This window comes from Homo sapiens, chromosome 13, assembly GCF_000001405.40.
Source record: "Homo sapiens chromosome 13, GRCh38.p14 Primary Assembly".
Taxonomy (NCBI): Eukaryota; Metazoa; Chordata; class Mammalia; order Primates; family Hominidae; genus Homo; species Homo sapiens.
The window spans coordinates 113,263,055-113,276,428 of NC_000013.11; the positions used below are offsets into that span (position 1 = coordinate 113,263,055).

Genomic DNA, 13,374 nt, shown 5'->3' on the forward strand with positions numbered 1-13,374 from the left:
TGATGGCAGATGTCGGGTCTGCCTCGCTTATACGTGCCCTTGCTGATGGCAGATGTCGGGTCTGCCTCACTTATACGTGCCCTTGCTGATGGCAGATGTCGGATCTGCCTCGCTTATACGTGCCCTTACTGATGGCAGATGATGTATGTACATTTCACAAGTTTCACGTTTCCCTCAGGAAACCACACTCTGACCATAAACTCACATGGACGCTTTTTTTATCAAGAGATAACGTTAACTTTGTCTTTAAAATAGAAAGTTTTGTTCATTTCATAAATATGTGTATAATTATAAATGATTTTCATATAAATATCTATTTGTATATATATTTCTATAAGTATAGTTACATACTTCATGCATATACCCCTTGTATGTAAATGTTTGTAAATTTAATGCCATTGTAATTAGGGGGGTTTTATTCTTCTTTTTTAGCCTGGAGATTTGAAAAAGAGAATTGAATCTCTGATAGACAGAGACTATATGGAGAGAGACAAAGACAATCCGAATCAGTACCACTACGTGGCCTGACGCATCTGCAGACGGTTCCCCTTCATGAAACACTAGAATGTACCCTCAGAGCAGGAAGCACACCTGTGCCATTTCTGGGACTCTGATTGATCCAGCTGTGGACATTGGAAGGCGAAGGAAGGGAGGTGGCTCCTGGGTCATCTTTCACAAGGCTCAAGACTTCAACCTGCAGATGTATCTTTTTCCCTCCAGTTTTTCCTCTAGTTCTTTTAGGCATTTAAATTGTTTCTGTTACTCTGTGCAAAATAACTTTGAGATTGGACAAGAAGATGTTACTAAAGAGAAGTTCCTTTAAAAGGTCTTGTTCTTGTGTCAAAAAGCTGCAAGTTTGGTTTGTTCTCGTGTGTGATCATGAGTGCACAATGAAGAAGACCCTAGATGCTGCATTTTTTAGCTCTGAAGATTCCTTAGGTATCCCTGAAGACAGCTCGCTCAGATGATCAGCATTTAGAGTGAAAACAAGGGCCCTTCATGGGTGAACATTAGAAAGAGCCAGGGTTCAAAGCTGGCGAATGGATGACGCACCCTAGCCACTGGCCCCTCTCTGTTTCATGTATTTCCAAAAGTTGTAAACTTTGATGGCTGATTTTTCGTAAGTCAGGTTTCTAAGTGAGCTCCCTGAGGTGCCAAGGCCATGGTGTCCGCCCTGCTGCGTCTGTTCGTCAGCTGAGTTCCTTGTGAATCTCTGTTTTAGGGTTTGGGGCTAGTGTGTTTGTGTTTCCATTCTAAGATTGAGTCTGGCAGTCCCTGTTTTTTTGCATTGGGGTAACTGCTCTTTGATTTTTTTTAATTGCAGTATTTGTGTGATTGCAATAATAAAGTTTGGTTTGGTTTTTACAGTCATGCGCAGGGACGATCCTTGTTCTCTGCTGTAAACTGTAAAAAGTTTATGGAGACTTAAAGTCTTGATGTTGTGAAGCAGAGGTTATTTTGTGGAAAGATTAAAAGGATTTTGTTGGTACCTGGTTTTGTGTTGTGTATATATACATGAGGTTGAACAGTGAAAGGAAAGTTCAGTAGTGATGTTAGAAGGGTAACTATGACAAAGATACTTTTGAGATAACATTTAAAAGTACTTTATATTTTACATAATAGCATGTTTCATTTTGATTAAAAGCTACCAAAGGAATTTTGATCATGGCATAAGTGTTTAAAGCAATATTTTCTGGAATATACCAAGTTTATATAATTTGATTTTGTGCTAAATTATTAAGAGTCTCTTTTTGAAACATGCGGGTTTGAAATATGACACCTTGTGGGTTTCCATATTAAAATCCTCACTCTTTAATTGTCATTTCTATCTTTGAAAATTTTCATTTATGAGTTCCATGATATGTGGTCTAAGAAAGACCAAACAGATTTCTATTTTTTTTTTCTTATAAGTTCGTTGTGTCTAGAGATTGTTAATATTGTAATTTAATGTAGACTTACTTTGAATAAAATTAGTTTAATTGGCCTTAAAATTACATTAATAAAACTTTGTGATATGCAAATGACACATTCTTCATAACTCTTTAGCAGCTTTGACTACTAGTGCACTAGACAGAAGTCAGAGCAGGGAGCACCTGTCCCCTCTCAAGTGATTATTCTTTCCTGGCCACCTCTACCACAAAATACCAGTGGGGCCAGGTAGTGACAAGTGGGTCTTTTTTACTTGGACGATTCGTTGTGCTGTGCCTTTGTTTCATTTGAGCACAGTGGCTCACGCCTGTAGTCCCAGCTATGGGAGGGCAAGGTGGGAGGATCGTTTGAGCCTGAGTTCCAGACCATCCTGAGCACCATAGGGAGATCCTGTTTCCATTTTAGTTTATTTATTTTTAATTGAGGTGGAGTCTTGCTCTGTTGCCCAAGCTGGAGTGCAGTGGTGCAATCTCAGCTCACTGCACCCTCCGCCTCCTGGGTTCAAGCAGTTCTCCCACCTCAGTCTCCCAAGTAGCTGGGATTACAGGCACCCGCCATCATGCCCAGCTAATATTTGTATTTTTGTAGAGACGGGGTTTCACTATGTTGGCCAGACTGGTCTTGAACTCCTAACCTCAGGTGATCTGCCCGCCTTGGCCTCCCAAAGTGCTGGGATTACAGGCGTGAGCCACCATGCCCGGCCTGCCTGTTTCTGTTTTATAAAAGAAAGGAAAATCTATTTATATCTATTCTCTTATTTAGCAATATTTAATGTTTTATTGTTAAAGGTCAGTGTGGTAAAACAAATAGTATAGAAGAAATCATTGAAAAAGAAACAGCACTTAGACAGAAATGCTGTAAAAGTGGAAAGGAGAAGGTGAAATTACTTGCAGGTTAGATGGTTGCATACCCAGGTCATCTAAGGAGCAAATGAAAATCTGTGACTGAAGAAAGAATTCACCAAGTTAACCAGACACAAAATTAACAAAAACATCAGTAGCTTTCCTATAAATATAGGCTATAATGGAGGGTCATTTTTTATTTTTATTTAGAGACAGGGTCTTAACTGTCACCTGGACTGGAGTGCAGTGGCATGATCATGTTTCACGGCAGCCTCTACCTTCTGGGCTCAAGCGATCCTCTCTTCTCAGCCACCTGAGTAGCTGGGCCTACAGGTGTACATCACCACGCCCAGATAATTTTTATTGTATTTTTTATAGAGGCAGTGTCTTGCTATGTTGCCAAGGCTGTTCTTGTACTCCTGGCCTCAAGCGAACCTCCTACCTCAGCCTCCCCAAATGCTGGGATTACAGGCATGAGACACTGCACCTGACCAGAAGTCATTTTTTCAATAGCAACCCCCAAAAAAGATAAAATACCTAGTAACAAATAGGGAAACACCTATGTGAAAGGTATTATAACATTACTAAGGAACACAGGCCCTGAATAAGTGAAAGTTCTGTTGATTCTCACATTTTGCTATACAGTATCTTAAGATGTAAAACCTTCCTTTAAAACACAAGCGGATTCTAAAGTTAAAACAGAAAAGCAAATATGCCAGACTAGTCAAATTGTTTTAAATTCTGCTGTTTTTAGAACATTGTAATTGAAACAGCATGATGCTGGCCCTTTAAAAAGATTCCTGGAACAAGAAAGTCCACAAATAAGCCAAATACACAGGAACTCGGCGTGGCACAAAGGGGCCGTGTGTGATCAGGAACTGGAACTTTGCAACAACTACCCATGCTCAGAAGTTTGGGCCACCTTGAAAAGAGAAAAGTTGGATTAGACTCCTTTTTATACTAAGGGAAGTTCCAAGTGGTCAAGTATTTACGTGTAAAAAAATACATATATATGAAACCATAATCATAAGATACTTTTTTTGTAAATTGACTATTATTGTATAAATTTATAGAGTATAAAGTGATCTTATAAATTATGCATACATTGTGGACTAGTCAAGCTAGTTACATCCATCACCTCAAATACTTAACATTTTTGTAGTGAGAACATCTGAAATTTACTCTTAGCAATTTTGAAATGTACAATACTCAATTTTTGACTGTATTCACCATGCTGTACAATAGAACTCAGAAAAAGAAAAATATAGTCCTCCTTTCTAAGATTTTTGGACCCGTTGCCCCTTTATTTGTGTTTTTCCACTAAGTGATCTAGTGAATTCACATCGATTTTTTTAAAAAAGGATTGACATTAAATGACATCTTTTAAAGTCAACATGGGGGAAAACAAGGTTAAAAAAACTGGAACCCTTGCCGGGCACCATGGCTCATCCCTGTAATCCCAGCACTTTGGGAGTCTGAGGCGGGCGGATCACGAGGTCAGGAGATCGAGACCATCCTGGCTAACACAGTGAAACCCCGTCTGTACTGAAAATACAAAAAAAAAAGCCCAACGTGGCGGCAGGCGTCTGTAGTCCCAGTTGCTGGGGAGGCTGAGGCAGGAGAATGGCGTGAACCCGGGAGGCGGAGCTTACAGTGAGCTGAGATCACGCCACTGCTCTCCAGCCTGGATGACAGAGCAAAACTCCATCTCAAAAAAAAAAAAAAACTGGAACCATCTTGGATAAAATGTACGACAAAGTACTGATGAGTTTAATGTTAACAGAACTAGAAGTCAGCAAGAAGACCAGCAACAAGCCTTCGGATAAGTGAGTTCTTCATTAGCTTTAAGAGAGTGGGAGCAGAGGAAACGGGTACCGTGAGGGCAGACCTGCTTTCAAGAACAGATGAACAGCGGCTGAGAATGACTCCAAGAGGTCGCAGGAGCAGAGCTGCATTTCAGTGGCAGGTGACTGGGCATTGTCCTGCAGCAAGGCCCTAATATCCCAGGAGAGGGCAGGATCGAGGGCACAGGGAGTGGGGGCAGGTGAGGGCTGGCCATAGGTGTGGTGCCGGGGGAGACATTGGTTGTGACGGTGACCATGGCCCTAGGCTGGAGGGTGGGGGGGTCATGTAACATGAAGATTTAGGAGGTAAGCTTGGAGGGCGCAGCTGTTGGCAATGATGGTCTGGGTGAGGACAGACGGGGAACTGGGGCCAGAGCATGGGAGACAAGACCTGATGGTCGTCCAGCAGTCAGGGACGGTGACAGGAGCCAGTGATGGAGGCCCTGAGTGCAGGACAGCCCTGAGGCCTGGAGGTGGGCCAGCCAGTGAGAAGGGCGCACCCCCGCCGGGGTGTCCAGCAGCATGGAAGGAGCATGGCCTGGAAGCAGCAATGGGCAGAAGGGAGGGCCTCGCCCCAGATGCAGCCCCAGGGGGAGGGTCACGAAGTGAGCAGCGGGCCTCTGCCCCCTCCACGGAGGCATGGGCACCCTGTGGTGGGTTTGGAAGGAGAAACCAGGCAGTGGCCAGGCCCAGGCCTTGTGCAGCAGCCCGGGAAGTTCAGGGGAAGAGGAGTGCAGGTGTTAGGACCGCCTAGTAAGAACGTTTAGGAGATGGAGGTTTTGTCAACAGACTGAATTCAGAAAGGGCTGGAGGGGGCAGAGGTGACAGTTGGGCCATGTGAGAGTGAGAGGCCCAGCAGTGATGGGGGACAGGCTGGTGGGCTCTGGTGAGGGAGGTCAGCTCGAGGGATCTGAGACATTGTGAAATGATGGTCTCTCAGGTAAATTTGTGAGGGTATATTAAATTCGAAAATGCCCACACCTTTGACCCAGTAAGTTCCTTTCACTCACGTAGAATGATTTCTAGTACTGTTCTCGCACACACAGAAAATACCTTAAATGTCCTTCAATAAGGAAACAGACCATGTGCTAAGTCCATGCATGTGTGATATTCTGACCATGCAGCTTGAACCAAGATCTAGATGTCCATTTGGAGTGAGTGTCAAGAAATACCACGTAAGAAAAGAGAGCAGTGCCGTCCTGCCACCACTGTGTGTGCGGCCCGTGTACGTGTGAATAACGACGGCTCAACTCCAGAATGGAGTTCTGGAAGGCTGCGAGCAGGTATGCGAGAATCTTTTCTATGCATATACCATTTTGTATTTTTTTAATTTTGTGTCAAAAGAATGTTTAAAAGTAATGACAAATTATTAAGAAAACAAAATGGCCCCACCCACTGTGTTGTTTCTTTACCATAAAACACAAGGAATCAGCCAACCCAAAGTAATTGCACTTCCCCGCCCGCTCTCCTCCCAACCTAATCCACTGTTGTCATCAGTTATTTTATGGGTTACCTTTGTAATTGTAATGGACATATTGAAACCCTATTCTCTCGATCCATGAATATACTCAGTTTCTCATGAAAACCTCCTGTATTGGCAGGCCAGGCACAGTGGCTCACACCTGTAATCCCAGCACTTTGGGAGGCCGAGGCGGCGGATCACGAGGTCAGAAGATCAAGACCATCCTGGCTAACACAGTGAAACCCGTCTCTACCAAACAAAAAATTAGCCAGGCGTGGTGGCGCACGCCTGTAGTCCCAGCTACTCGGGAGGCTGAGGCAGGAAAATCACTTGAACCTGGGGGGCAGAGCTTGCAGTGAGCCAAGATCGCACCACTGCACTCCAGCCTGGGCGACAGAGCGAGACTCTGTCTCAAAAAAAAGAGAAATGTAATCCTTTGTTTGTGCAGCTCAAAGAATATTCTAAGCATCAAAGACAAGCTATTTCTTTCCACATTCCATTAAAGCTGAAAATGTATGTCATGTTTTAACTTGCTTTATATTTGCACTATGGCATTTTTGTCCAGCTTTTTTTTTTCCTGGAGTTTTTAATTGCTACTGATGACCAAAAAAAAAAAAAAAAAAAGATGCCTTTTGTCTTATCACTAAGATAATTTCCTTATCACAGTTTGCATAAACCCAATTTTTTTCTTAAAACACACATTTCGGAGCTGGTCACGGTGGCTCAAGCCTGTAATCCCAACACTAGGAGGCCGAGGCAGGAGGATCATGAGGTCAGGAATTCCAGACCAGCCTGTCCAACATGGTGAAACCCCATCTCTACAAAAAATACAAAAATTAGCTGGGCGTAGTGGCTCGTACCTGTAGTCCCAGCTACTTGGGAGGCTGAGGCAGGAGAATCGCTTGAACCCAGGAGGATGAGCTTGCAGTGAGCCGAGATTGCACCATTGCACTCCAGCCTGGGTGACAGAGCGAGACTCTGTCTCAAAAAAAAAAAAAAAATCATTTATCAGAATCCTCTAATAGTGGTTTTCTTGTTGTTTTGGGGTTTTCGTGGTTTTTTTTTTTATATGGAGGCTCACTCTGTCATTCAGGCTCGGGTACAGTGGTGCAATCTCAGCTCACTGCAACCTCCGCTTCCCAGGTTCAAGTGATTCTCCTGCCTTAGCCTCTGGAGTAGCTGAGATTACAGGTGTGTGCAACCACACCTGGCTAATTTTTGTATTTTTAGTAGAGACAGGGTTTCACTGTTGTCCAGGCTGGTCTCAAACTCCTGACCTCAAGTGATCTGCACGCCTCAGCCTCCCAAAGTGACAGGATTACAGCTGTAAGCCACGGCACCTGGCCCTCGGATAAGTAGTTTGGTTTTGGTTTTGAGACGGGAGTGCAGTGGCGCAATCTCGGCTCACTGCAACCTCAGCCTCCTGGGTTCAAGCAATTCTCCTGCCTCAGCCTCCTGAGAAGCTGGGATTACAAGCGTGTGCCACCACGCCTGGCTAATTTTTTTTGTATTTTTAGTAGAGATGGGGTTTCACCATATTGGTCAGGCTGGTTTCAAACTCCTGACCTTGTGATCCGCCTGCCGTGGCCTCCAAAAGTACTGGGATTACAGGCGTGAGCCACCGCGCCTGGCCTAATAGTTTTTTAAATTGAACTATGGGCCAGGCATGGTGGCTAACACCTATAATCCCAGTACTTTGGGAGGCTGAGGTGGAAGGATTGCTGGAGGCCAGGAGTTTGAGACCAGCCTGGATAACAGACCTCAGCTCTACAAAAAAATTTAACAATTAGCCAGGCATGCTGGTGCTTGCCTGTAGTCCCAGCTTCTCAGGAGGCTGAGGTGGCAGGATCACTTGAGCCTGTGAAGTTGAGGCTGCAGTGAGCTATGATCGCACCACTGCACTCCAGCCTGGGCGACAGAGTGAGACCCTGTCTCAAAAAATAAATTAATAAATAAAAATAATATAAATAATACAATGAATCAGCTGGGCGCAGTGGCTCACGCCTGTAATCCCAGCACTTTGGGAGGCCGAGGCAGGCGGATCATGAGGTCAGGAGATTGAGACCATCCTGGCTAACATAGTTAAACCCCATCTCTACTAAAAATACAAATAATAATAATAATACAATGAATCATTTGCCTCTTTTTTTTTAAGAGACGAGGTCTCACTGTGTTTCCCAGGCCAGAGTAGAGTGCCCTGGCCATTCCCAGGCACAATTCGATGCACCCCTACTTCCGGCCACATCATTTGGCTTTTGAGCCCCTGCATAGCTGTGATCCTGGAACCCATTTTCTCTGCATTCCTGTGTAGTTCCACTCCTTGGATCTCAGTCTTCTCTTTTTCTTGTCTTCTGGTTTTATTAAGTAGATTCTTTTTTTTTTTTTTTTTTTGAGACAGTCTCACTCTGTTGCCCAGGCTGGAGAGTGCAGTGGCACGATCTCAGCTCACTACAATCTCTGCTTCTTGGGTTCAAGCGATTCTCCTGCCTCAGCTTCCCAAGTAACTGGGATTACAGGTACACCACCACGCCCAGCTAATTTTTGTATTTTCAGTAGACATGGGGTGTTGCCATTTAGCCAGGCTGGTCTCAAACTCCTAACCTGCCTCAGCCTCCTGAGTAGCTGGGATTACAGGCACACGCCACCACGCCCAGCTAATTTTTGTATTTTCAGTAGAGAAAAAGCCAGGCTGGTCTCGAACTTCTGACCTCAGGTGATCCACCCACCTCGGCCTCCCAAAGTGCTGATTATAGGCGTGAGCCACTGTGCCGGGCCTCATTAGGTAGATTCTTAAATGATCTTCTCAGAAAGAATGCCTGGGAGACAAATTTCCTGAATCCTGGCTGGACTGTTTTTATTTTACACTTGTGTTTGATTGTTGGTCTACATAAAAACTCTAGGCTCAAAATCACTTTCCCTCAGAACTTTGAAGGGATTGCACTGCCATAGTCTTCTATTTTCTAGCTCTAAAGTCTGATGCCATTTTGTTAACTAACCTGTAGTTCTTTCATGTCACTTTTGGAATCTTCTGTTCCTGGACTTTTGGTATCTCACAAGAGTGTCTCGGTGTGTGTCCACTTTCATTTGGCCTCTGCCAGCCACCCACTGAGCCTTCAGACTGGAAGACTCCGGACTTCTGTTCCAGGAAGTGTTCTTTTTTGACATTCTACATTGCCTCTTCCCCTTCAACTTCTTTGCTGTCACTTTCCTTAGCACTAATCTTTCTAAGTAAACCAACTGGAAGGTCTAATGAGAAGAAGGGCTGGCCTCACCCCTCCCCACTCATAGTTCACTGTCCATCTTTGTTTCTGGTTAGCTTTTCTCTTGGTGGCCTCTATTATCAGATTATTGTTTCTTGGTTTTCTTTTTAATAAAAGATTGTTTTATGTTTTTATATTATTTCTTATTTTTCTTTTTAATAAAAAATTGTTTTTATTTTATTTCTAGAATATCTTCTTGAACCTCAAACTGTCCTCAATGGGTTAGCAGGAATTACACGCCGGGTTCTGGGCAGAAATGGAGTCATAACTAAGCATGAATCAGGCTGCACTTTGGCCCACTTCCTTGTAACTGGAAGTCTTGTAGCCCTGGATACTGATCATTTGCACCCCCATTATTCTCATAGATAGGACCACTGACGTTAGAACCATAAGGCTTTAAACATTGCTTAATATGTTTTTCAGATCCTCAATTCCAGCAGAACAGCTGACATCAACCAGTCAAAGGCTCCCACAGGGCGCTGAGGCGGCATGAGAATGCAGGTTCTTCATCCCCCCATCCCATGATTTTAGCCTGCACTCTTCAACCCATCAGCAACTCCCACACCTCGGCCACTCCGAAACCCTTAAAATCCCCAGCCCCAAACTCCTCTGAGAGGCGCGTTCAAGGCTTCCTCTGTCTCTTGTTCAGTTCCCCTCTGGGTGTTAAGCTCCGTCTCTGCTGCAATCCCCAGTGTCTCAGTGTACTGACTTCCTGCACATCAGGCAAATGATGTTAGGATTAAAATTACACACCAGTGGGGCGCGGTGGCTCAAGCCTATAATCCCAGCCCTTTGGGAGGCCAAGGTGGGCAGATTGTTTGAGCCTAGGAGCTCAAGACCAGCCTGGGCAACATAGTGAAAACCCATCTCTACAAAAAAATATAAAAATTAGCCAGGTGTGGTGGCACATGCCTATACTCCTGGCTGCTCAGAAGGCAGAGGTGGGAGGATTGCTTGAGCCCAGGAAGTCAAGGCTGCAGTGAGCCATGATGGCACCACTGCACTCCAGCCTGGGCAACAGCGCTAGATGCCGTCAAGAAAAAAATTGAACTAGTGCCTCAGAGAGTTGTCAATTTTTTTTCTTTAAGACAGGTCTCAAGCTCAAGCACGTGTGTTGTGATCTGGGCCCCCATTCGTCAGGCTTCTGAAGTCGTGTTTTTAGGCACAAGCCTGTCCCCAAGTCTATAGCATCTGGTGCACAGTGCTCAGTAAACACTGAGGAGTGAATGAAGCAGGGCCAGTGGAAGGAACAAAGACCAGCAAGATAAGAATGGGGAGAAGTACGAGTGTGACAGAACAAAAGAAGGGAGTTTTAAGGTATGGTGAGAATCAGAAACAGACCATCACGGTGGCATCTCGGGCCATTCAGTTTGTGTGCTGGGCCCGACGGGTAGTGGGTGCGGCGAGATGTAGCTGGAGGCAAGGCAGAGGCCAGGGAGAGCTGCTCTCGGGTAATGAGAATTGAGCAAGCATCAAACTGAGCAAGCAAGAGAGAAAAGGGGAGAATCTGAGCATACGGAAAGGAGAAATAACTGCGGGCAGGTTTCCCAAACAGCAGGGGAAACCACATCCCCGCGCAGCGTGCTCCTCCCAGGGAACAGAACAGGGAAACCACATCCCCGCGCAGTGTGCTCCCCCGGCAGAGGTCCTAAGGAAGCCGAGGGGCGGACAGCCGAGCAGAGGTAAGGCTTTCTGTGGTCCGTGATGGAGGAACCAAGGCCAACTGCAGCACAAGTTGAGGGAGCATTGTACTGAGAAGTGGACGCCTGCCAGGAGTCCACTCTTCACAGAATGAACAGCACCTTCAAGGCACTGGGATCAGCAGAGAAGCTTTAACACTGGCCAGGTCCCCCCTCTGCCAGGTCCTCCATCTGTCACTCTCCAGGTGCCCCTGAGCAAATTCCTGCAATTCTTTAAACCTTGGTTTTCTTATAAGTGGAGATAATAATCCTACTTACCTCATGGGGTGGTTCCAAGTGAACACACACAAAGCTGCTTAGGACACGTACTACACACCAGCAAAGAGGAATGAGTCACAGTCACGCACAAGCACAGTGCCTCTTCATCAGGAAAACCCAGTTCCATACAAATCTAAGTGGCTTATCTTCAGAAACATTAGTGAAGAGCTGAAGCAAACACTGTCAGCTGGGAAGTCTGTATTCAGTGAACATACATTTCTGAATGGAGGCAAAGTATGCCTTTTCAGACAGAGACCTCTAGTAGGAGAAGTGCAGGAGGAAGGAGCTTCAGCTGCTGGAAAGCAAAGCCAGATAGAAGCCAGGGTCTGCCGAAGGCCTGGGGAGCGCCCGCACTTGCAAGCATTTGGGTAGACACTCACACAAATTAGCTACACAATCATTATTTTCTTTAAAAACAACTGTTGAAAGCAAAAATAATATATGTTGGCATTAATACCATATGTAGAAGTAAAACGAATGACACGACACAAAGAATGGGGAAAGAAATGGTCTGGTGAGTGTGATGAGCTAGAGATGCGTGTGACAGCCCTGGGGGAAAGGGGAGATGGTCTAGTGAGTGTGATGAGCCAGAGATGTGTGTGACAGCCCTGGGGGAAAGGGGAGATGGTCTAGTGAGTGTGATGAGCCAGAGATGTGTGTGGTAACCCTGGGGCAGCCACTAACAATACCAGAGAGAGAGGCAAAGAGAGAAAGAACAAGCCAACAGAGGAGACAAAGTATAATTTGAAAGAACACTCAATCCAAAGTGTTGACAAAGAGTCAAACTGTGAAATATTTGAAGAGATTTATTCTGAGCCAAGTATGAGTGACCAATGGCTCATGACGCAGCCTCAGGAGGTCCTGAGAACATGTGCCCAGGGTGGTCAGGACACAGACTAATTTATTTTTAGGGAGACATGAGACATCAATCAAATACATGTAAGATGTACGTTAGTTTGGTCTGGAACAGGGGCTGTGGGAGGCTTCCAGGTTATAGGTAGATCTAAAATGTTTCTGATTGGCAATTGGTTGAAAGAGTTATTATCTAAAGACCTGGAATCAACAGAAAGGAATGTCTGGGTTATAATAAGGGGCTGTGGAGACCAAACTTTCACCATGCAGATGCAGCCTCCAGGTGGCAGGCTTCAGAGGGAACAGATTCTCATGAGGCTTAAAGAGTCTGTTCTATCAATAATTCCAAAAGGCGGTATCATGAGTCATGTCTGACCCCTGCCCCCATCATGGCCGGAGCCAGCCCTTCAGGTTAGCCTTGGAAATGCCCTCCCTGATACAGCGGTCCATTCAGATGGTCTGAGGGGGCTTTGAATTTTATGTTTGTTTTACAAAAGGCAGACAGGAAATTCTTTTTTTTTTTTTTTTTCAGATGGAGTCTTGCTCTGCCACCAGTCTGGAGTGCAGTCATGTGATCTTGGCTCACTGCAGCCTCTGTCTCCTGGGTTCAAGCAATTCTCCTGCCTCAGCATCCCGAGTAGCTGGGCTACAGGTACCCGCCATCATGCCCAGCTAATTTTTATATTTTTAGTAGAGACAGCGTTTCAACATGTTGGCCAGGCTTGTCTCGAACTCTTGACCTCGTGATCTGCCTGCCTCTGCCTCCCAAATTGCTGGGATTACAGGCGTGAGCCACCGCGCCTGGCCTGGAAATTCACTTTTAAAAGGGAATAAAGAACGGATAGGACAAATGGAAATGGAAAGAGGGTGGACTTGAACCTGACCATCTCATTAATTTATTGGTAACAATGACATAAACAACACTCCAGTTAAATGCCAAAGATTTTCAAGCTGTATAGAAAATTAAGACCAAAGTATATGCTGTCTACTACAAAGGCACTGTTATTTCAAGAGAGAGGATCTCACTGTGTCACCCAGGCTGGAGTGCAGTGGCACAATCACGGCTCACTGCAGCTTCAATCTGCCAGGCTCCAGCAATCCTCCCACCTCAGCCTTCTGAGTAGCAAGTGTGCGCCACCACAACTGGCCAATTGTTTATATTTTGTAGAGATGACATCTCACTGTGTTGCCCAGCCTGGTCTCAAATTCCTGGGCTCAAGTGGATCC

At 45.2% G+C, this 13,374-nt stretch overlaps 1 protein-coding gene across 9 annotated transcripts in view, besides 2 other annotated features; it reads left to right on the forward strand.

The window, feature by feature from the left end:
* The window catches only part of CUL4A (cullin 4A), a 58,916-nt gene extending 54,862 nt beyond the window's left edge, over positions 1-4,054 (forward strand). For all 9 annotated transcript variants that reach the window (NM_001278513.3, NM_001278514.3, NM_001354938.2 and 6 more), the window contains exon 20: positions 433-4,054. In NM_001278513.3, coding sequence (NP_001265442.1) covers positions 433-528 — 96 coding nt within the window. In that variant the 3' untranslated portion in view covers positions 529-4,054. The remainder of the gene's footprint in view (positions 1-432) is intronic.
* Positions 10,928-11,427: an enhancer, noted in NCBI's record as "H3K4me1 hESC enhancer chr13:113928297-113928796 (GRCh37/hg19 assembly coordinates)". NCBI's record gives its function as "activates a minimal SCP1, AML or CMV promoter by ChIP-STARR-seq in primed H9 embryonic stem cells {active_cell/tissue: H9 hESC(primed)}" and the evidence as "EXISTENCE:reporter gene assay evidence [ECO:0000049][PMID:30033119]".
* Positions 12,380-12,674: an enhancer, noted in NCBI's record as "tiled region #2925; HepG2 Activating DNase matched - State 8:EnhW, and K562 Activating DNase unmatched - State 8:EnhW". NCBI's record gives its function as "activates a minimal TATA promoter and a strong SV40 promoter by Sharpr-MPRA in HepG2 and K562 cells {active_cell/tissue: HepG2 | K562}" and the evidence as "EXISTENCE:reporter gene assay evidence [ECO:0000049][PMID:27701403]".